The following is a 23,736-nucleotide window of genomic DNA, read 5'->3' on the forward strand; positions in this document are numbered from 1 at the left end:
TAGAAGACCTCTCCCATGTAAAACTCAGTAATTTTATTCACATGGATGAATTTTTGAGTGGGTAATTAAATATTTTTTAATATCTCTAAAAATTATGTGCATAGGCTTGTTTTGTCCTAACAGCCCTATGAGATAGGTACTCTAATATTATCTCCTGATTTACAGGCAAGGAAATGGAAGCTGAGAGAGGTAAAGGAATTGCTAGGGTCCCACAAGTAATGGCAGCAGAACTGGTATTCTAGCCTGTGCAGTTTGGCCCCAGAAGCCAGCCTCTGAAGTACAGCTGTGTTCTTAACTCTAACTATGGCATATTGCCATGGCAGACTTTGTAGTGAACTTTATTTTTTTGAACTTTTAAGAATTTTAATTAAAAGTTGTGGGGTTTTTTGAGATGGGGTCTCACTCTGTCAGTCAGGATAGAGTCCAGTGGTGTGATCATGGCTCACTGCAGCCTCGACCTCCTTGACTCAGGTGATCCTCCCACTTCAGCTTCCCAAGTAGCTGGGAGTACAGGTGCACACCATCATGCTTAGCTAATTTTTGTATTTTTTGTAGAGACAGGTCTCGCCATGTTGACCGGGATGGTCTTGAACTCCTGGGCTCAAGCGATCTGTTGGTCTCGGCCTCCCAAAATGGTAGGATTTCAGAGGCATGAGCCACTGCGCCTGGCTGAACTTTTTTTTAAAAAAGAAATGCAGTTTTTATTTTTTCCCACTGACGTACTTGGAAAAAAAAGTTACATGTAATGAGACACATAGTTCACTGGGGTGAAATTAATTTGTTCCAAGTATGCTAGTCCCAGATGTTGACAGAATTCTGAATTTTGGGTCACTTTTATATGAAAGACAAAGACTTTCATATATGAAAGTATGACTAAAACCCTGGAATTTTTGAAATAATCCCTTCACTATTTTACTCAATTTGTTTCTACAGTCAGCATTATTACAGAATCTAAATTAATAGATTTATTTCACATTTGTCTTATCCATTGCTGTTACCATATTTAATGTTAGTCATTTGATAGGAAGAATGATCCAATTTTTCTTTATTCGTTACAAAGTAATTTCTGTAAGCAAGAGCTTTTAAAAAGCATTGTTTTGCACACATATTAAACAGCATGCATAAAGATCATTTTTGTCTGAGGATCAATATCCCATTATAAAAATAACACATATATGTAATAAATACTAAAACAGTGTAGAAATGTATAAAATAGAAAGTGGAAATCCCGTTTATTTCACTTTCAGATATAACACTAAATATTCCTGTTGTTAAGGTAGCTGAAGTAGTTTTTTTATCTCTGTTATGAACCCATTTGCACATATAAATCTATTTACATATTTTTAAAACATGAACTTTAAATTTAACACGTGTTAAAACTTTGAATTTAACATGTATTATTGCAGTAGCTACTCATTGAGATATCTGCACAAGTACTCTTTGCTGAGAACCAATGCCTCTTTCCCCATCATCATTGTTTGTATTGCCTCTTCTAGTTCCTTGGCCAAACTTTTTAAGTCCAGAACCAGATGCTGAGCCAAGCTGGACCAAATTCTCTTTCATGATAATTTGGAACTAAGATTGAGATAATACAGGCGTATGTGTTTGTATCTCAGGGGAATGTCTGGGAGACAGAGAAAGACAGCAACACCTGAATTTTGAGGCACATTTTTGCCTTTGCGTTCAATGGAATACCTCTATTCTTTAATAAATTTTCCTGTTATTAAGGTAGCTGAAGTAGTTTTTTATCCTTTGTGATAAAAAAGCTCTATTTGATAAAGTCAGTACTCAAAGATATATTTATAGACCACAGCACCTTAAATTTAGAAGGATACTTAGAGATCATCTTTACTATTTACTACTATTATCTTTTCTACTTATTTACAGTTTTACTTTATTGCTTTACTTATTTCTTATGTTTAGAAACCACATAAATCTTTCTTCAAATGAAATATAATGCAGTAGCCCAATATATAAAAGCGTTCAGAGGCCCGGGAGAAGCCTTGCATGTGTATGAGGAGGTGGGGACGGGTCCATAGGAACCTAAAGAGTAGACGTTCTCAAGCAGGGACAGTTTTACCCCTTAGAGGGCATATTTAGCTATATCTGGGGACATGTTTGGTTATCACAGTTGGGGAGTGTTAATGGCATCCAGTGGGTAGAGGTAAGGGGTGCTGTTAAACATAACACACAGGACAGCTCCCCGCCGTTAAGTGCATTCAACAGACAAGCCGTGGCAAAAGCCCGAGCCTGACTACTTAGGCTGTTAAAGATGCAACAAGCCACTTGTAGGTTTAGCTAGTTGATTACTTACGTAGACAGCAAAAAGAAGGGGAAGCTAAAAGTACCAGCTCCCCATGGTCTACGTATCGCAGGATGACACTGAAAGGAAAAGGGCCAAAGGACTGCACTGAGAGTTGTGGAATACCCTGTTTTGGAAGAGCCAGTAGAAGAGAGAGAGGCAGAAAGCCCACGCCTCCTCACAAATGGGAAGTGATGAGATACTGCCTCATGACAGCTTCCCATCCTCTCTTGTTCCCAGGGTATCACAAGGCATTGAGCCACCACTCAGATTAACTGAGGTTCATGTCTTTATCATTGTAGCCTGTGAGGATACTAGCGGAGTCTCCAGAGCACCTGGTGGAGCCAGTAGCCTACACCTACACGCCCAGCAAAGAATTAGCTGGTCAAGAATGTCAGTAGTTCAAATGGAGACTCTATATTTTAGAGTAGCACTGTTCATTAGCAATGTAATGCCACACATATATGTAATTTAACATTTTCTATTAGCCACATAGAAAAGAAATGTGATACCAACTTAATAATGTTTCATTTAACTCAATGTATCTCAAGTATTATTTCAACATGTAATGTGTCTAAAACAATAGTGAGATTTTTAACATTATTTCCAGCTAAATCTCTGCTATCTGTTGTATATTTTATACTTAAAGCATATCTCAATTGAAACAACGTTTTCATGATCAATACTTGATCTATATTTGGGTTTCATAAAATTTGTAGTTGAGAAACTAGGTTTACATACACAAGGTGTCCTAAATATATTAAACATTTACCAATAACTGAATCAACTATCAATTTTTAAATTTAACTATGACTTTTTTTTTTTGAGATGGAGTCTCGCTTTATCGCCCAGGCTGGAGTACAGTGGCGCGATCTTGGCTCACTGCAACCTCCATCTCCCAGTTTCAGGCCATTCTCCTGCCTCAGGCTCCCAAGTAGCTGGGATTACAGGTGCACGCCACCACACCCAGCTACTTTTTTTATTTTGGGTAGAGACAGGTTTTCACCATGTTGACCAGGCTGGGCTTGAGGACTCCTGACCTGAAGTGATCCGCCCGCCTTGGCCTCCCAAAGTGCTGGGATTACAGGCATGAGCCACCACGCCTGACCTTAACTATGATTTTTAAAATGCAACTAAAAATTCAGATTATCAGTTTCTCTAGTCACGTTTCAAGAATGCGATACTCACATGTGGCTAGTAGCTACCATATTGGGCAGCATAACTCTAGAACACTGGGAAGTTACTAACCATTTTATTGCTAAAGAGAACAGGCTAAGACCACACAACCATTACTTCTAAACTTTTCTCCTGACACCCAGTTCAGTTCCCTGTTCATTGTACTAGAATACCTGTTCTTAAATCTCTATTTTAGAAGAGCTTTATGAGTAAGGCACAATAGGCTGTACATGATATGATGAGGTTCTCATAGGTTCCTCCAAAGGATATTAATTAAGTTGAAAGAAGAACCCTGGTTTATTAAGTGAATGTCACCGCTCATTCAGTGCTGAAGATACCATTGTGCATCAAAGAAATGTTTATCTTATGTTCTCAAGAGAAACATAATAGCACGAGGATATTAAGAGAGAACAGAACTCATCACTCTTTTTGTGTCTCAAATTTAATCTGGTATACAGAGTCAGTGATTATTTTCTTTGAATGGTAGAAGTCAAAGAACTTCAATGAGTAGTTTATTCAGAGGTGAAACTCTTCTGTTAAAAAAACAAAGATGTTAATAATTGAAGAGGATTCTAAAAAGAAATAAAAAGAGGAAGTAAAATTCTTTAAAAATGCGAAATTTTGCAAATGAAAATAAGTACTACATTTATATCAAAGAGTTTTGATTTGTTTTTGTTTCTCTGATTTGGCTAATCAGACATAGATTATGCCTTAGTTGCAGGATACTATATATGCATTATAGGCACATTACCTCAGTGTAGATATATTATGTTCACTGTACATTGAGCTCATCATGTTTTGAAGTTTTGGAGATTTCATCCCTGTTTTATTACCTTTTGTACATATACTACTGTATGTACAAAACCTTTGAGTGTATCTACTTTACTCTTGCCATTTATTTAAAATATTTTAAACAGTGTAACATAATTTAATTGATATCACCAAACTTCAATCTATTCCAAGAATAGGAATATGGGGTTTTTACAGCTGCAAAATAATTGCTTTTTGCAAGTTGGTAGTAGAATTAAATAGAATTCAATGGAAATGGAATTGTAATTAAGTATCTGCCTAACATATATAACGTATATTAAGCTAGGCTCACTAAAATTTTCTTTCTTCAGTGTAGTTTATGTACTATTAATTTCTTAACTTGCATGCTTTCTCTTGAGTTAGCTACCTTCTTATAGTTGTTGTTCCTAATTTATGTGTGAAAAACTTTTTCTAAATGATTAATGAATTTATCCTGTTGGTGCTTCTTGAACCTGTAGATTGGGGTCTTCTATTAGTTCTAGGAAAATCTGTGGCATTAGCTCTGTAAATACATACATATGTATGTGTGTATGTATATATATATTTTATTTTTATTTTTATTTTTTCTTTTCTTCTAAGACTAATTGCAGCATGTTAGGCCTTTTAGTTTCCATCTTTTATCCATCCTACTCTCTTTTTCCTCTGTATACTTCAGTACTTCAGTCTTGGAAATACTGGTTGTCATATTTTCCAGTTCAGCAATTTTCTCTTTAGCTGTTTCTAATCACAGTCAGACCCTCTATAAAGCTTTTAAAATATTAGTTTTGTATAACATAAAAATCAACTTTATCAAGTTTGAAGTAATGAAATAAAATGAATATATTTTGAGTATACATTTTAATGAGGTTTGACAAATGTGTATACCCATATAACTACCACTCTAATCAAAATAATACAACAGTTTTGTTTACTCCAAAAAGTTGTCTGGTGCCCATCTGCAGTCAATTTTTCTTCTTGTCAGCCATCCCCAGTCAACAATGATCTATTTTCTGACATTATAGATTAATTTTCCCTTCTAGAAATATGTTCTTGTGTGTCTGGCTTCTTTTGCTCATCATGTTTTGAAGTTTTGGAGATTTCATCCCTGTTGTATGAAACGAAAGTTTGTTTCTTTTTATTGCTGAGTAGTATTCTGTTGTATGACTGAGCTATAGTTTGCTTCAGATTTTTTTTCAATGTTTGACTATTATAAATAAACATATGATCATTCACATGCAAGTCTTTTGTGTGGACACATGGGTTTTTGGTTTGTTTCCTTTTGAGTAAATACTTAAGACTAAGTATGTATGCTAGGACATACAGTAGTGTATATTTAGCTATATAAGGAACTGCTAAACTGATTTCCAAAATGGTTAAACCATTCATTTGTAATGCCCACAAGTAATGTGTTAGAGTTCCAGTTTAGAATCTCCTCATTAACACTTGGTATTGCCAGTCTTTTTAGTTTGTATTTTTCTGTTGACTAATAATGTTGAGCATCTTTTCATGGACTTACTAGTAATTTATATATCTTCTTCTGTGAAATGCCCTAGTCTCTTGCTCATTTTTCAAGTTGTATTGTTTGCCTTTTAATGATTGATTTGTAGAAGTTCTTTCTCTAATCTAGAAGAGTTTTTTGTCTTACATATGTGTTGCAAATATTTTCTTCTAGATTGTGTTTTGCCTTTTCATGTTCTTAATGGTGACTTTTGAAGAACAGAAGTTCTTAATTTTGATAAAACACAGTTTATTGGTATTTTCTTTTAAGGCTTAGTTTCTTTTTCTCCTAAGAAATCTTTGCATCCCGAGGTCATGAAGATTTTTCTTTCATGTTTTCTTTAACAGATTTTATTAAGTCTTTTTTATGTTAAGTCTTTTATGTCAAGTCTGTAGTCCAGTTTGAGTTAATGTGTTTGTGTGGTGTGCGGTAAGAGTTATTTTGTGTTTTTTTTTTTTCTTTTCTATATAGAGAATCCGTTGTTTCAGCATGATTTGTTGAATAGGCTATTTTTCCACCGTTGAATTACTGTGCTTCCTTTGTTGAAAAGTCAGTTGACTCCCTATATGTTGCTTTATTTATGAGCTGTCTTCTGTTCTGTTGGTTTACATACCCAAGTCTGAATAACATAGTTTTTCAATTGGAAGTTATGCTTCATAACACAAAGTAGCTAGTTTAACTTGCAACTCCAATAATTGCAGAAGTCCTATTATATCTATATGTATTCTTATTCTAGTACTGCACTGTCTTGATTACTAGAGCTTTATGATAAATCTTGAAATTAGGTAGTGTGAGTCCTTCAACTTTTTAGTTCCACAGTTTCCCACTTGATTATCAGAGTATGTCTATGTTTCACTTCTTAAGACCATACTTTCCTTTAATTCTTGGAATTTATTTTCTTTAAGTCTTTGAAATTTTTTATAATTGATGCTTTGAGGTCTTTGCTAACTAACCCTAACACATCTGGGATATGCTGGGTATGATTTTTAGTGTTTTTTCTTGACCAGATCACATTTTTCTTTCTCTCTATATGTTTAATAATTTTTTATTCAGTAGTGGACATGGTAGTCACTCTGTGATGTTTATTATCTTCCTCTGAAGAATTTTTATTCTTGTTTTAGCAGATCACCTTATTGCTGGTTTAAAATCACCCTTAACTTATGGAGGTTTGGTTTTAAGCTTTGTTAGTGCAGATCTGTGGAAAGCCCAAGGTGTTTCCCATGTTTCTTTAAGATTGTCTCTTCTGCAGACCTTGTTTTGCCTCGGTTTTGGGCTTTATTAGTATTATGTGTCTAGACTAGGGCTTATTCTAGGGGACAAGTTCTCAAATGTTTAGTCTCTTTTTGCATTCTTAAAAATTATTGAGCGTTCCACAGAGCTTTTATGGGGGTCATGCATATTGTATTAGATATTAAAAAAAGAAGTTTAAAAAATTATTTCATTTAGCAAATAGCAAGCTTACTGCATGTTAGCATGAGTAACATTTTTTGAAAAATTGTTTTCCAAAACAAAAAATAATCCTAAGAGTGGAATCATTTTACATTTATGCAAATGTTATTCATATTTGACTTAATTGAAGACAGCAGGATTCTCTTTTCTGCTTGTGTATGCAGTCTTTTCTGATAGGCTTTTTGGGGTTGAAATATCTGAAGAAGATCTACATTTATAGTTAGAAAAGGGAAGAGTATATCAATAACCTTTCCAATAATTGTGGATATTCTTCTTTGATTCCACATGCAAACTGGACAAATGGTAGTTTCTTAGTGGTTAGCTGCAATGTGGAATCTGAAACCATGTCATGTCAGAAAACCTTTTGCACTCTGTAACATCACAATCCACTGGTCGTCTTACACTTGCAAAGCATCTTTGCCTATGTACCTATGTATGATTTTGTAATGATTTCCATTTGTCGTATCAAAAATACTCGTTTCCTAAGTGAGGCCTAACTTGTTAACATGTTGTATTATACTATATAAAATAATTACATTTGTTATTTTATATCCATGTCAGCAGAAAAGTCTATGAATTTGGGAGCCCTTTATAAGTACTTTCTAATTCTTCACAGAGAATATTTTAAAGAAATCTAATGGTCAATATTTAATAAAATGCAGTAATTTTACTGCTTTGTCAGGGGCATTCTAATGTGAAACACTCCTTTTTTTTGACTGCATATATGTTTTATAGTGAAGAATGTAATAATCACTAATAGATGTTGATGACACCGCCTTGATTTGTGTTATTTTAGTTTTAAGACAGGGTTTCACATTGTCATTCAAGTTGGAGTGCAGTGGTGCGATCATGGCTCACTGCAGCCTTCACCTCCTGAGGCTCAAGCGATCCTCCCACCTGAGCCCCACGAATAGCTGGGACCACAGGTGCGTGCCATCACGCCTGGCTCATTTTTTTACTTTTTGAAAAGTCCAGGTCTCCCTATGTTGCCCAGGCTGGTCTTAAACTCCTAGGCTTAAGCAATTCTTCCACCTCAGCCTCCCAAAGTGCTGGGAATATAGGCATGAGACACCATGCTCAGCTTGTGTTATCAGTAGTTTTTTCCTCTGTTGCATCATCAGTGCAAATGTTAATATAATGAAACAAAGGAATAATATCTTAATGTTATCATAAAAATAGTTTTGACTTTGTAGATCCTGGCTCTCTGTTCTAGGTCATGCTGCTTATTCATAACTAACGTTGATGCTAAGGTGCGTCAGGTGTGTTAACAAGGCGATTTTTTTTTTTAGGTTCTCTTTACTTTCTCAAGGCTAGAATTGCAATTTCTTTCAGCACTGCTCTTTCTCTAGCACCTTGCGACCTCTACTCACTTTGTTGTGCTCTCAGTCCCTAGCAGCTATTGCCAAATAAGCCTCAGGGGTTTTGTCCTGCACAGGTACAGCCCAGCCCAGCCATGTGATCCCTGGGGACTCCTTCACAGACATCTGGGGCCTGCTCTCTGCACAGATCCTTCTTCTCTAGTTTCCCATCCTGCAGACTCCAGCCAATTCTTCTGCCTTGAGTTTGGATTTCTGTCTTCTCAGTTCAGTGTAACCACCATGTTCTGCTTTGACTCTTGTTGTGTTTATGTGGTTGGCAAATTGTGTTAGGCAGAGAGTTGGGTGATTATGGTACCCATCTTGTGAGTTTCTCTTCTTTCAGGGATCACTGTTTACAACTGCAGCTGGCTACTGCCTGCAGTTAGTTGCTTCATCTATTTTCTCCAATTTCATAATCGGTTATGTCAGAGAGGGAAAGCTAGTCTGATACCAGTTACTCCATTATGGCTGGAAACTAAAGTTTTATTTAAAATTTTTTCGTTATATTTTTATTTCTAAAAGTTCTGTTTAATTCTTTTATACATTTGCCCTATTATTTTTTATAGTTTCATCTTTTTTAGATCTTTCAGCTTGTATTTTATTTTATTAAACACAATAAGCATGGTTCTTTTTGTAATACATGTCTTGTACCTCTGATATCTGAAGTTTTTATGGGTCTGTTCTTGAGTTGTCTATTTCTGCTCGTTGCAGGTTTTGCATTTTAGATTATTTATGTGCCTCATTATCTTGGCTGTGCACTGGACATTTTACCAACTGTTTATTTATAGGAGTTACTGCCAATCTGGGGCCACCTTAAATCAAATTCTAGGCTTTAGATATCGTAGACACCCAAAGTTTCCAACCAGAGCTGTAATTCTGTACTAGGACCAGTTCACATCTATTTTATCCTCATCCTGAGGTATCACCCTTGTTGTGTGGGGAACAGTCTCGTAATAGTCCTTACTTTTGGGGGCCTGTGGGCTTTTATTGCTCTTCCCCTGATTCCATGAGACATTGAAATGACAGATTTTATTTTTCTTGATCAGTAATTGCCTTCAGAACAATGACAGCTTCCATACACGTTTACCCTCTAGATTTCCTTTGCTCTTCAGTTTTCAGCTGGTAATTCTTTAACTGTCTTGTTAGCTCATAGATGATTTTAGAAGTTGTGTTTTTGTTTTTGTTTTAAATCTAGTTCTGTTCATTGTTTACAGCCTAAGGGTAGATTTAAATAAGCTACTCTGCCGTTACTGAAAACAGAAAATTGTGCCATTTGAATTCTAATTTAAATTCAGTAAGCCATCCTATATAGGGATAGCACTGGTTACTTGAATTTTCTTTTTTTCTTTTTTTTCTTTTTGAAGTGGAGTCTCGCTCTGTCGGCCAGGCTGGAGTGCAGTGGCACAATCTCAGCTCACTGCAAGCTCCACCTCCCGGGTTCACGCCATTCTCCTGCCTCAGCCTCCCGAGTAGCTGGGACTACAGGCGCCCGCCACCACGCCTGGCTAATTTTTTGTATTTTTAATAGAGATGGGGTTTCACCTTGTTAGCCAGGGTGGTCTTGATCTCCTGACTTCGTGATATGCTCACCTCAGCCTTCCAAAGTGCTGAGATTACAGACATGAGCTACTGCGCCCGGCCTTGAATTTTCATAGTTACTGTTAGTGGTAAATCAACTTCAGATAATTTGAAAAATAAAATACATTAGCTTGACTACTTTTATGCTATAATAAGTAATGTGTATTTTGGATGAAAAGATAAAAGAGTTTTTAAAAAATCTATAATATATATATACTGTATTATTACGGTATAATATATACTGTAGCATACTATATATGATATAATGTATACTGTATAATATAATGGCATAGTTTATGCCATTATATAATATTATACCATTTTAATATACATGTTTGTGTAGAAGAAATAGTGCATAAACGCAAGGATCTATCGTGTTTCAGTTTATAAAAATAGTTTGTCTCTTAAAGCTCATGTGTATTGGTAAAGAATCTTATACATTGAAGGCTGTACTGTAGTGAAAGTTTAGTCCTTTGATATTTTTCTATAAAATTAAAAATTTTCTTTGCTTAAAAAATTCAACGAACTTGGTCCTTTATGTAATCCTATTTTTGAAACTCAGTCTAATAAATGTATATCTCTTTATTCTTAAAGCATTAGATGCTTATAATTTTAAAGTAAAAACTTCCTAAAACATCTTCTGATAATTTACTCTAAAAAGCTTGCTACATTTTTAGCTTGGAAAATTCACATTGTTTCTATGTCTTGTGTCTTTTAAAATTAGTTAATAATGCCTGCAGTTAAACACAATTTATTATAATAGCACTTTGTAATTTTCTAGGAATTTAACAGAATGAGTCTTTGTATGAATGTAGAAATATTTTGTTTTTATTTGCAATAATTATGCAAATGCTTAACTTGAATAGTTTTAAAGGATGAAATGAAACAACATAGCTAAAGTAATACCTGCTGAATTTGGCTCCCTGTGGCTGAATGCCTGTACCAGAAATGGGAAAATCGTGTGTCCTTCTTGACATAGCTCATTTGAAAATGGTGTTTGAATTTTGTGACCCTACCTTAATTTTAACTGTCTTGTTATGCCAGCTGCTACATTTTCTCCGCCCGTCTTACCTCGAAAGGAGATGAATAGAGCTGAGACGCATTAGTAAAACAATTAGAAATCACTTACTCTCTGGAATTTGAGGTTTAATAATGTCCCAGTGGTTAAAGATAGTATAGGGGGCTTTGTGAATGGCCATAGTACCCTTGAATTTATGTACTGAATGTTACTCAGATTTTAGTTTCCTTCTTTTTCTTTCAAACCTTACTTTGTACATTGTTGGTGTATTTTGGGAACTTTGCTTCAGGTATTTGTGCTACTTTTTAAAAATAATATGACACTGTATCATCAAGCAATGTGGTACTTTTTCAGAAAAATCTGTTTTATATTAGTGTGCTATCAATGCGTATTGATTTTACAAGATAAATTTCTAATTTTATTTTGTGTTAATAGTCACATTTTATTTTTCTTTTTAATGGCTCAGAATGTTGAAAACAAATTTTGAAGCATCCAGAATTGAGTCTTAGATGACACCACTTTGAGTACAGTGTGGCATTCTTGAAAACTATTGTTACCTTTGCCTCATGTATGTGCCATTCTTCTGGTATTAGAAAATAGTCCCACATAAATCCCCATAGAGAACAGTGTGAAGGATCAGATTTGAAGGCACTTTAGGATGAAATTCTATTTGAGAAATTGCTTGGGGAATATTGTAGTTTGGGACATTTAAGAATGTGTCTGATAACCTTCAGTGCTCCTGGTCTCAACTTTTAGTTTTGTTTGTTCTTTTTAAAGAGTTAAGATAAATGAAAACCTTTCTGTTATTATTTTTTTCATTTTGATTCAGAGGGTGGGAGAAGAAGAGATTCTATTTGAAGCAGCTGTTTTTTATTTTTATTTTTTGAATATTTTAGATCGTAATGCTTCAGGTCTTTGGCTATAACTTTAAAAGCATTATCAGAGATTTGAGACCGCTCCTAAAATATGTAGAGATCACCTTATCAAGTTTAGCCCCTTTATTTTAAAAGTCATGAGAACTGAGGCCCAGAGAATTTCTTGTGTGCCCTGGCTCAGTGCTTCTCAAATTGTCTATGGTAGAGAACTGGGTTTTCTTTTTTCCCCAATGCATGACAGATCAATAATTTTGTAAAATATAAATAAAAAGAAGTACTGGAGAAGGTAATTTTGAAACAACAGACATAGTTCTAAATACCTTCAGTTTCAGTTCTTATCTCAATGTAGATGGATTGTAAACAGTTCTGGGAATCGAATTTTATATAATATGCTTTGTATAGCATAGACCTGGGAATGGAACTTTGTATAATATGCTTTGTATAGCACAGACCACATTTATATAGCACTGCCCAGGGTCAGGGGTCAGCAAAATGGTCCGTAGGCCAAACCCAGCCTATCTCTTGTTTTCGTATGGCTTGCAAGCTAAGAATTGTTTATATATTTTTAATGGTTTTTTAAAAAATCAGAAGAAGAATATTTTATAAATTTTATAAAATTTAAGTTTCAAAGTCCTTAAGTAAGATTTTATTGGAATGCAGCCATGCTCATTCATTTAAATATTATCTGTGGCTGCTTTCACACTATAATGGTAGAGTCGAGGGAGGGATGAGGACCCTTGAACAATGCAGGGGTTAGGACCGTTGAACAACGTGCAGTTTAAAATTCGAATGTAACTTTCTCCCACAAAATTAATAGCCTACTATTGACCAGAAGCCTTTTCGATAACATAAACAGTCAACACTTATTTTGTATGTTATATGTATTATATATTGTATTCTTATAGTAAAGCAAGCTAGAGAAAAGAAAACATTTTTAAGGAAGATAAAATGTATTTACTATTCATTAAGTGGAAGTGGATCTCCATAAAGATCTTCATCCTCATCGTCTTCCCATTGAGTGGGCTGAGAAGGAGGGTGAGGAGTGGTTGTTCTTGCTGTCTCAGGGGTGGCAGAGACAGGCACACTCAGTGTAACTTTTACTGAAAAAAATCTGCATATATGTGGACTGATGCAGTTCAAACTTGTGTTATTGTCAGCTACAGTTGAGACAGAGACCAAATAGTCCGTAAAGACTAAAATATTTACTATCAGGCCTACTACAGAAAGAGTTAGCTGACCCCTGCCCTAGAGCAAAGCATGGAATTAGTCGTCACTGGTAGAGTTGAGAGTACACATTTTAACATGTGCTTTAAATATTATGGTGAGCTGATGGGGATTGTCATGCTCCCTGACCAGCACCTTTGCTTGTCACTTTATGTTCTAATTCAGTCCTCCTGGCAATCTTGTAATCTTGTATGAAAGCTGGATAAGTTTAGACCCCTGCTGATCTAATGAGGGGTTAGATACCTTCTCCTAAAAGTCTTAACTTTACTGAGTTTTTAATTTTTAATTCATATGTGATGAATGAAATATGGTTAAATATTTTCTAATGTGAATTTTGTTATCAGCATCTGGTTTAGAAAGTTCAGCTGCTTCTTTCCTGTTGCTACATTACTTTGCTGTAGATGTGTCTGTGTTCAGGTCTAATTAAAGAGGTAGGCATGGCCCAAACATATTTAGAAAACATCTATTTCAAGTAAATGTTTACTTCTTTTAATGTCACCTAAAGTACAACAAAACTACAACTAAACTGTAATGGCACATTTCTATTGCAAAATGGGCAACATATAGTAGTTAAAATACGGGTTAAAACAAGAAGGATTGAGGTTTTAGGTGACTTTGGAGAAACAGTCAGACTTTCACTATTTTACTTCTAGCACTCATTAAAAACTACAAAATGAAAGCTCCCATCATTTAACTGTCAAACTCAGATAAAAATATTCATTTACTTCTTGTTTAAAGCAGGTTCTGCAGTTCCTGAAGTATGCAGTTAAACTCTGCTTTTCATGGTAGCTATTATTTCTTCTGTTTTCTTCCCCTTTGCATGTGATCACTCAGCAACTAAATAAAGTTAGAGATAGTTATCAGCTTGCATTTGATACTTGAGTCTGCTTTATGATAAAGACCTTTTATAAGCCAAATCTTCACGTTAGAATTTCTTCCTGGTATTAAAAAAACATGTTGTTACAATAGCTGTACCCATTATGATGAAAGAGTAACTACACTTTGATATTGTGGCACTCGCCATTTTATTCTACTGACTCTTGAATCAGTTTATAAACATCTGGAAAACAATAATGTTCATTGTTTGCATTCACATAGGAAATAACACAGAAAGGCTTTGTAAGATCTCACTGCATCTTCTCAAGCCATAGCTGGTTTTTATTGTCCCAAGTCTGAAACTCCCCAAAATGTAATGTATGAGATGTACAGGCTCACCTTCCTGGCAGCTGTGTCCTAGTTCTGGATAAGGCTGTTGTTTGTCCATTATAACAAAGCCATTGATTTTATGGCTAATACATTAAAGGAAAAGGAAGAGCTTTGTAAACAGAAGGACTTACGGCTTGGTAATGTGTGAGTATTACCTTCCAAATATTGCTAAAGAATGTATGTGCTTTAGCATGGAACTGTCATGAATGAATGAAAATTTGGGACTCATCAACGGTAGTGCCTCATAACTTACAATTGAATTTTACTTACTGGAACAACTTTTTAATACATTCATTGATTTAATCATTGTTTGGGTAGTATTACAGCAACAGTCTCCTCCTCTCCTGCCCTCTCCACCCTCCCTACGTATACACACCACATACCAGATGTGGCTGATAAATGCTTTGGATTAATATATCTGGATTTTACTTAAACAGTGATTTTTTCTTTTGTAGGAACCTCCATATTTAAGAATTCCCAGTAGCTACTTTTTACCCAATATGGCAGGCATTACATTCGTGCCTTAGGATATATTATAGTGATTGAGTTTCTGTTTCTAAACATTTTTGATGGAAAGAATGAGTATAAGAGGCAGTTCCTTTTTGCAGCTCCACGCCAGGGGACCAGGGTTACACACATTACTATGTCTGTTAAACTTCTTGGAAGCCATCCAGTATGTTATGGTGAGTTTCATGTGCAAGTGGTGAGCCACTAAAAGGCTTGCACAGTATTATAACTATTCTGAGGAGAGGAGGCATTTGGAAATTCAGCAGTAAAGCAGCGACAGCAACAAGCAGCCACAGTGGTAGTAAAGAGAGGGCAGGTTCACAGTTAGCATATTTCACAGTGTGAGCCAGCGAGCACATAGCTTCCCATACTGCTGCTTGAAGGAGGCAAACCAAAACTCTACATTGCAAGATTTTTCTAGTTTCATGTTTATGATGTTAAGTCATGTGATAATATTGTACCATAAGTTGCCAACTTCATTTCACTCTAGAGAGGCTCCTTTGCTGCAGTGCTTTTTTGCTTTTTTTCTTTTTTTTTCTTGAAAGAGAAAAAATTTGTGCAATGTATGTTTATGCCTACACCATGCCGAGACGACACTTACCAGTAAATAATCTCTGTATCCCCGAGGTAAGATACTGTTTCTGCTTTCCCTGCACAGTGCTGCTGCAGCACGGAGCTGACCCAAACATTCGGAACACTGATGGGAAATCAGCCCTGGACCTGGCAGATCCTTCAGCAAAAGCTGTCCTTACAGGTAAGAAGACAGAGAGCTACCGAATGATTATATCTGTGTAACTCCTTACTTGATTTTATAAAATCTTGTTATGCTGAATTTTTCTTTTCACTGATGAAGCTAAGCAAATATATCTGCCATTATCTACTACTTTATTATTGATTTGATATCTGTCTCATTAATTGCTATGCTGTCGTAAGCATAAGCAGTAAGATTGTTGGTCTACTTAGAATGATAGCATTAAATCATAACATCTTTCACTCGTATTTTAGTCATTTTTATGGTTTATATCATAATTTTTCTGTATCTCATCCTCTCAGTTGTTTAAGACCTTTACTGTTGAGCAAGCAAGGGCATTTATATTACTATAAAAGTAGTTTTGATTGGAAAGACAACCTGCTGCCTGCTGCCTTATTTCTTGGATCGATAGTCAAATAAAATATGCCGCTGCCTCTCCCTTGCCACCCCGTTTATACTTTAATCATATGTTTTCACTTTTACCATGATAGCTAAGTTATTTTTAACTGAGGCGTTTATTATCTTTTTACTTCAGATAATGCAAATTTGTGGCTTAAATATTAGTTTTATTAAAGCAAATGCCAAGAACCAGCAAAGAGGAAATGCTAGAATGGAAAAGGTCTCTCATAACAATATAGAAAATAGTGCTCTAAGTGTTTTCATTGATCTGCATTCTCAAAATGCTGCATTGGATCTATTTTTGTTTTTATTCTTAGCATCTGAGTCCTGCTGCCTTTGCCCTCTTTTACTTAACTGACCTTCGTAATGAGCCTCTGTCACTGCAGTGCTAACAGTATTGTTTTAGGTTATGTGAAAGTAAATGACTTTTAACTACCTTTTAAATTTGCCCATGGTCGAAGAAAATAAATATTTTGTTCTTGTTTAAGTTTAGAGTCCATGGTGTGAAAATTTAGCAAAAATACTGAGGCGAAGGGAAAACGTTTATGTACAGAAAGCTTTGAAAATCTATGGAATTTTGCTTAATTACTCTGCATAGAAAAACAACTTTGCACTGTGCTAAAATCAATATAATTATTGCTCAGAGTAATATGACTTTTCTCAATCAAAGATTAGTGTATTTAGTTGCTGGATAACAGTAACATACACTAGAGTAATAAACCTACTTAAATTAGTGTAGATAAGAAATTTAAGTATAAATATATAATTTTAAGTAGTGAAATTAAAATACATAGCCTCGGGCCTGCTCAGATTCTACAGCCTTTCAGTCTCTTAACAAAGCCCTGGGCAACAATAGCAGCTTTAGAGTGGTCTCTGACCAAAGGAGAAATACAGTGCATAGTAACAGGGGTAGGTTATAAATGCTGAGCAAGACTCTTTGTATATCTAAATGTCCTCCCTCTGACGTTTCCTTCTCTCCAACTCTCAACACCCGCTTTGTCCATTTGTTAGATACATTTAATGCAACAACGCTTTTAGATCTACTTTCACTTTTTTAAAAGGCAAAATTTAATATAAGTTATTAACAAGAAACTATATCCTAATTTGTAATGAATTTCAGGGGAGATTATATTGGATGTTGTTAGTTTGGGAAAGAGCTTTGGAACAATCACTTGTGGAGACACAAGATTCCTGGAGGACAGATATCACATCTACTAAAATTGACTTTAAAGCCATCTAACACTGTACTTTGCTTAGATAGGAATATACGAAATTCTTGGTCATAATACTGATTTAGAGTCATTTGTTCTTTTCAAGAATATCTCTAGAGTCATTTAGAGTTAATTGTTCTTTTCAAGAATATCTACTTTTTTGGAAATGATCTACAGCTTTTCAGATGTGATTTAAAAGGAAAAGTCTAGTAATATGGTTAATTTTGTTGGAATATAAACCAGTTCTGTTTCTACATTCATGCTATATAATGCAGTGAAATAACACTTAGGTGAAATGTATTCCAAAATGTTTTTCTGCCCATACAGGTTCTCTAATAAGTAATTCTTTCCAGTGGAATTATGGTGAAAGAATTATTTCCAGAGCTAAATTTAAAAGATTAAACATTAATTTTTTTAAAAGGGTTTCTTTTGAAAGGAATGCCTTAGAGTTATTAGAGATCATTCTGAGTAATATGTCATTCTTTATTTTTATGCCAGATGCAATTGTAGTACCCTTACTTACCTTGAGAGTGAAATTTTCCTTCTTAAATATTTTTTCTTTAGGAATTTACTTGCTGCAAATGTCTTTCCAGTATCTCATCGTTTTATGTTATTACTTTTGTGCATTAGTCTAAACTGTGTACAAGTATTTATGTGTTTTCCTTAAAGGCAATTAATAAAGTGACAATCTCTTTTTTGGTTTTTTTTTTTTTTTTTTTTGAGATGGAGTTTTGCTCTGTTGCCCAGGCTAGAGTTCAGTGGAACGATCTCAGCTCACTGCAACCTCCGTCTCCCGGGTTCAAGCGATTCTTCTGCCTCAGCCTCCCGAGTAGCTGGGACTACAGGCATGTGCCGCCACGCCTGGCTAATTTTTGTATTTTTAGTAGAGACGGGGTTTCACCATGCTGGCCAGGCTGATCTCGAACTCCTGACCTCAGGTGACCTGTCTGCCTGACAGTCTCTTTTTATAGAACATTTACAAATATGTGACTAATACCATCTTATACATAAGAATGCATGTTTTTTAATAAAGCTATACAAAGCAACAGTGTACCCTTAATTTTGCAATTAAGGGACCCTAGCACATGGCCATTGGTTTTGGATAGCACACTTGGATATTTAAATGAGAAGACTTACTCAGAGAGACTCATCATCCTCTTTGCTGAATTATTGTGTAAGTGAATGGTAGACTTAGAAGAAATCTTGAGGGCTTTCTTTTGTTTTTCTGCTAATGACTGAAGTTCTGGTCAATAAACTGAAGGACTTGGAGGTATTTAGATTTTTCGTTTGTTCATTTTTTGTTTTAAATAGGGGTATGAAAAGTCAAAAACAGCCTATGTAAATGTTATTGAAGAGCAGTTTTTGTGTGTTTTGATTATAAATTTTTTAAAGTAACATACTTTTGGCCTTTTCTTTCTGATTGTAAAAGAAATACATTCATTTGGAAATTGAGAGAAACAGGAAAAGGATGAAAAAGAAAAATCATTTGTAATTTTGCTACTTAGAGATAACATTTTGGTGTACTTTATTTATAACCTTTTCTTCTGTGAGCATCCCACTGTCTTATTTCTCTTTAATCAAATCAGCCTAATGTGTTATAAACTGCTTAATAGTACATATTTTTGTAATTTAGTTACATAAATGTTCCCAAAGACATTAAGTACTTTTCTACAACCTGAGTTTATAACAACTTCACAGTACCCTTCTATGAGTATATTTTGGTTTTTTGAGCGAATTCCCTAGTGTTTCACATTTAGGTAGGTTGTTTTCAGTCTTTATTCTTCCCTGTGAATTTAGAGTCATTTAATCAATTCTGTTGGAAGTGTGCTTCATCACATTCAGTCTTAGCATCCATGGACATGGTAGATACCTCTGTTCTTGACTTTGAAGTAAGGAAGCTTTGGAAAATGAGGAGCTTTCTTTTTTAAAAAGGCTGCGCTGCATGTGGTATTATGGGAGAGCCACATTTAAGTTAAAGGTGGTTGACAAAGGGAATGTTTGTTGAAAAGGGCTAGAAAGTAGGGTCTTTGTTAATTATGTGAAGGAGATTCTCTGGGCAGAGTGGAAAGGATAGAGGGAGCAGTGGAAAATTGAATCAAAGAAAGAGGTAAGAGCAGATTGAGCCTGAGAGTTTGGAAAAGGATAGATAACCAAAGGAATGTTTGTCGTTGTCAGGACCAAGGATGATGGGGATGTAAAGTGAGTGAGTTTAGATGGTCACAGCATTGCTAAGATGGTTGATCCTAGTGTTTTCCTAGTGTATTTAGGGTTAAGGGGATGTGGAAGGAGGATATGTTTGCATTCAGGTGTCTCAAGAATAAATTAGCTTTAACCTGGATTCATTGCACTTCTGTGGAAATCCAAATCTATGATTTGATGGGTAGCCCCCAGTCTCTCTATAAGGAATCAGCTGTGGCTCAGGCCACCGGCAATATTGAGGTGTCTGGTGTGTTCTTGCTGAGACTGGCTTAGTAAGTCAGCAAAATGTATCCGAAATCCTTTGCTTTTTTTTTTTTTTTTTCCTGCTAACTGCCTCCTGCTGCCCTTCAGATAAGACCAACATCTTTAGCATAACCAGTGAGGACTTAAATGCTCTGTACCCTGACCACCTAGCTTTGACTACTAGATTTTGCTGAAACCAAAATTTGGAACTCTTTCCTTATTTTTATTTATTTTTTTTTTTTGCGACGGAGTCTCACTCTGTCGCCAGGTTGGAGTGCAGTGGCGCTATCTTGGCTCACTGCAACCTCCGCCTCCCGGGTTTAAGCGATTCTCCTGCCTCAGCCTGCCAAGTAGCTGGGACTATAGGCAGGCGCCACCACGCCCAGCTAATTTTTGTATTTTTAGTATAGATGGACTTTCACCACTTTGGCCAGGATGGTCTCGATCTCCTGACCTCGTGATCCGCTGCCTTGGCCTCCCAAAGTGCCGGGATTACAGGTGTGAGCCACCGTGCCCGGCCGGGACTCCTTTCTTTGCCTCACACTTTGTATCCAACCTATCAGTAATTCAGGTCTACCGTACTTTCAAATTCCCAATCTGACCGTTTCTTACCATCCTCACTGCTTTAGCCCTGGGCCACACCTTCATCCTCTGTTTCACGACAGCAGTAGCCTCATAATGGATCTCTCTGCCACTACTTAAACTTCGCTCAGTTCTCTTCACTGCAGCTAGAATGGTCTTACTAAAGCATAAATCAGCTCTATAATCAGAAAATTCTTTAGTATATTCCCACAGCCTCTGAATAAAATTCAGATTCTTTAACAGTGGCCTGTCCTGATCTGGCTCCTGCCTTGCATTTATCTGATCTTGTCTTCTACTGTATTCTCTCTTGGTCTCTTTGCTTCAGCTACAGCTGGCTGTTTGCTGCCCCTCAAGCAGATGAAACCTTATTCTGTGTCTGGGCTAACATAAGCTATTTACTGAAACTGGAACACTTCCCCAGTTCATCAGTTAAATCTCTAGTTCAAACGTCTGCTCCTCAAAGACGGCTTCTTGTCCCTGGTGCCATCAGCCTATTTGATTTCCTTCATGGATTTATTGGTATCTGGCATTGCATTGTGTTGTTGTTATTTGTCCCAGTAGAATGAAAGCATCATAAGGGTTTGGACTTTTGTCTGTCTTGTTTACTTCTTTATCCCCAGGACTCAAAAGAATACATAAAATGATCAATCAAATAAATATGTCTAAGGTCCGATTACTGATAATTGGGGGCAGCATATTTTCCAGGTCATATAAATACTCATTAACCATTAATTATTTGACATTTTATGCCAATAGTTTTAATAAATTTTTAGCTTCCTAAAAATAGTTTTGAATTGCATATAGTCCTATACATTTCTTAAAACATAAGTGCATTTTAAAAATGTTTTAATTGGTAAGATGGATGAGGTTTACTGAGTTTTTATCAACAGATTTCTCAGATGGCTCTTATGATTGAGAACATTCCAATTCTGGAAAGATGAAGCTGCCTGCAGCTGTCACATCAGACATCCAGATGTCAAACCGAGGCCTTATTTTTGCTTTTTTTTTTTTTTGAGACGGAGTTTCACTCTTGTTGCCCAGGCTGGAGTACAATGGTGCAGTCTCGGCTCACTGCAACCTCCACCTCCTGGGTTCAAGCGATTCTCCTGCCTCTCAGTCTCCCAAGTAGCTGGGATTACAGGCATGTGCCACCACGCTCAGCTAATTTTGTATTTTTAGTAGAGATGGGGTTTCACTATGTTGGTCAGGCTAGTCTCGAACTCCTGACCTCAGGTGATCCACCCACCTCAGCCTCCGTAAGTGCTGGAATTACAGGCTTATTTTTGTTTTTTTCTTTTGGCCATTGTTCTGTTAGTTTGCTGTTTTGCACGTTAGCTATACTATAACCTGGCATATTGCATACCATGTGTAATACATGTTTTACTGTCAGACTATATGATTATTTTTCTCATGCTGTTAATCTGAACTTAAAGAATTACTTATCAGTTATTAGAAAGTCTAATTATACAGACTGCATCCTAGAAAATAAACTACAAGCAGAAATAAATCTTACCTTACTTATTAAGAAAAGTTGTATATTTATCTATATGAATTTTATTAGGGGAAGTTATTTTTATAATAAGATGAATTTCTGATTTTAAAAGATTGCCTTTAGTATTACAGCAAAGGAAGTTAAAAGGCGTTACTGCTGAAACAAAGCAATGTGAATACTCATTTTAAATATATGTTAAAAAGTTAATTTCTTGACTAAGAAAATTATACGAATAGTTTAATCTTGTATAATTTTGGACATGAGCAGGAAAATTTAAAGTTTTATATTAAACGTGGTTGAAAGACTTTTTTGAAATTTTTAAAATATGAAGACAATTTAGGAGAAGAATGTAAAACTCACACCTTTTAAAAAAGATTATATCTGACGTAAGAGATTAATTTCAATTTTCAAGTGTTGTTTGCACCGTGAAGGAACAGCTAAGCTAGTTTCTTTCTTTTTTCTTTTATTAGCAGCAGGTATTTGTTTCATAGTTCATACTGAATGTTTAGATTCTTGCAGCAAGCAAACAACTTAGCGTTACATAAAATACAGTGACAATAATAATAGCTGACACCGCCTGAATCCTCCTTTGATCCAGGTGCTATTTCAAGGGCGCTGAATCCTCACAATGAAGCTGTGAAGTAGATATTGTTATTGTACTCATTTTTACAGATGGAGAGGTTAAGTTACTTCTAAGTTCACAGAACCATCAAGGGAAATTACAGGAATTTGAATTCAAGCAGTTTGGCTCCAGGATCAATGAGTGCTCTTATATGTGCAGAATCAGACTTTTTACCTGTTTGTTCATTTGGAAGGACATGGCATGGCCTAAAACAAAAATAAAATTAGAGTGGCCCCTAAATATAAACTCCAGGGCTTAAATCTAGTCTGTTAATATAATGTTCTTTTTTAGATTAAAGATTATTCCTTTTGAAAGACAAGTTACCTAATATTGCCAGTAAGACTCATCATCATATTATTATAATAAAATGGATTAACTTGGTAATAAATTGATTCTTTGAACTTTGCATAGTAACCTTCCCTTATCTGTGGGGATACGTTCCAAGACCCCCAGTGGATACCTGAAACCACAGATAGTACTGAACCCTGTACAGACTATGGTTTTTCCTATATGTACATACCTGTAATAAAGTTTAATTCATAAATTAGGCACAGTAAGAGATTAACAACCATACCAATAATAAAATAGAACAGTTATAATGATGAACTGTAATGAGAGTTATGTCAATGTGGTCTCTCTCTGTGTCTCACAATATCTAATTGTACTGTATTCACCTATTTTCAGACTGTGGTTGACCGGGGGTAACTGAAACCACAGAAAGGGAAACTGCAGATAATGGGGAATATCATAAACGATCTTCTTCAGTCTTTGCTCTCTAGTCACTAGGGTTGATGAACATTCATTTGAAACCTAAAACAACTAGACTCTGTATGGAAAGATGTAGTATTTAAGGTGTTTGATCTATTGATAGGTAAGAGGTAGATCAAATAATGTCAATAGACCTTAAGTTAGTTATAGATACTAACCTGTGTACAGGCATACCTCAGAGTTAGTGCAGATTCGGTTTCAGACCACTATGAAGAAGCAAATATTGCCATAAAGTGAAACACACTTTTTTTTTTTTTTTTTGGTTTCCTAGTGCTTTTGAAAGTTGTGTTCGTACTATATAGTGTGCAGTAGCATTATGTCTAAAAAAAGTACTACCTTAATTAAAAATACTTTATTGCTAAGAAATGCTAACGAAGTGAGCACATGCTGTTAGAAAAATGGTGCCAATAGACTTGCTGGATGCAAGGTTGCCACAAACCTTCAATTTGTAAAAAATGTATATCTGCAAAGTGCAATAAAATGAGGTAT

At 35.5% G+C, this 23,736-nt stretch overlaps 1 protein-coding gene across 3 annotated transcripts in view, besides 1 other annotated feature; it reads left to right on the top strand.

Moving 5' to 3' along the window:
• TNKS (tankyrase) overlaps positions 1-23,736 on the top strand; it is a 226,435-nt gene that overhangs the window by 44,032 nt on the left and 158,667 nt on the right. For all 3 annotated transcript variants that reach the window (NM_003747.3, XM_011543845.4, XM_011543846.4), the window contains exon 3: positions 15,639-15,734. In NM_003747.3, coding sequence (NP_003738.2) covers positions 15,639-15,734 — 96 coding nt within the window. The remainder of the gene's footprint in view (positions 1-15,638; positions 15,735-23,736) is intronic.
• Positions 8,928-8,977: an enhancer, noted in NCBI's record as "active region_26986". NCBI's record gives its function as "activates an Ori minimal core promoter by ATAC-STARR-seq in GM12878 lymphoblastoid cells {active_cell/tissue: GM12878}" and the evidence as "EXISTENCE:reporter gene assay evidence [ECO:0000049][PMID:35858748]".

The sequence above is a fragment of the Homo sapiens genome, chromosome 8 (genome assembly GCF_000001405.40).
Source record: "Homo sapiens chromosome 8, GRCh38.p14 Primary Assembly".
Lineage (NCBI taxonomy): Eukaryota > Metazoa > Chordata > Mammalia > Primates > Hominidae > Homo > Homo sapiens.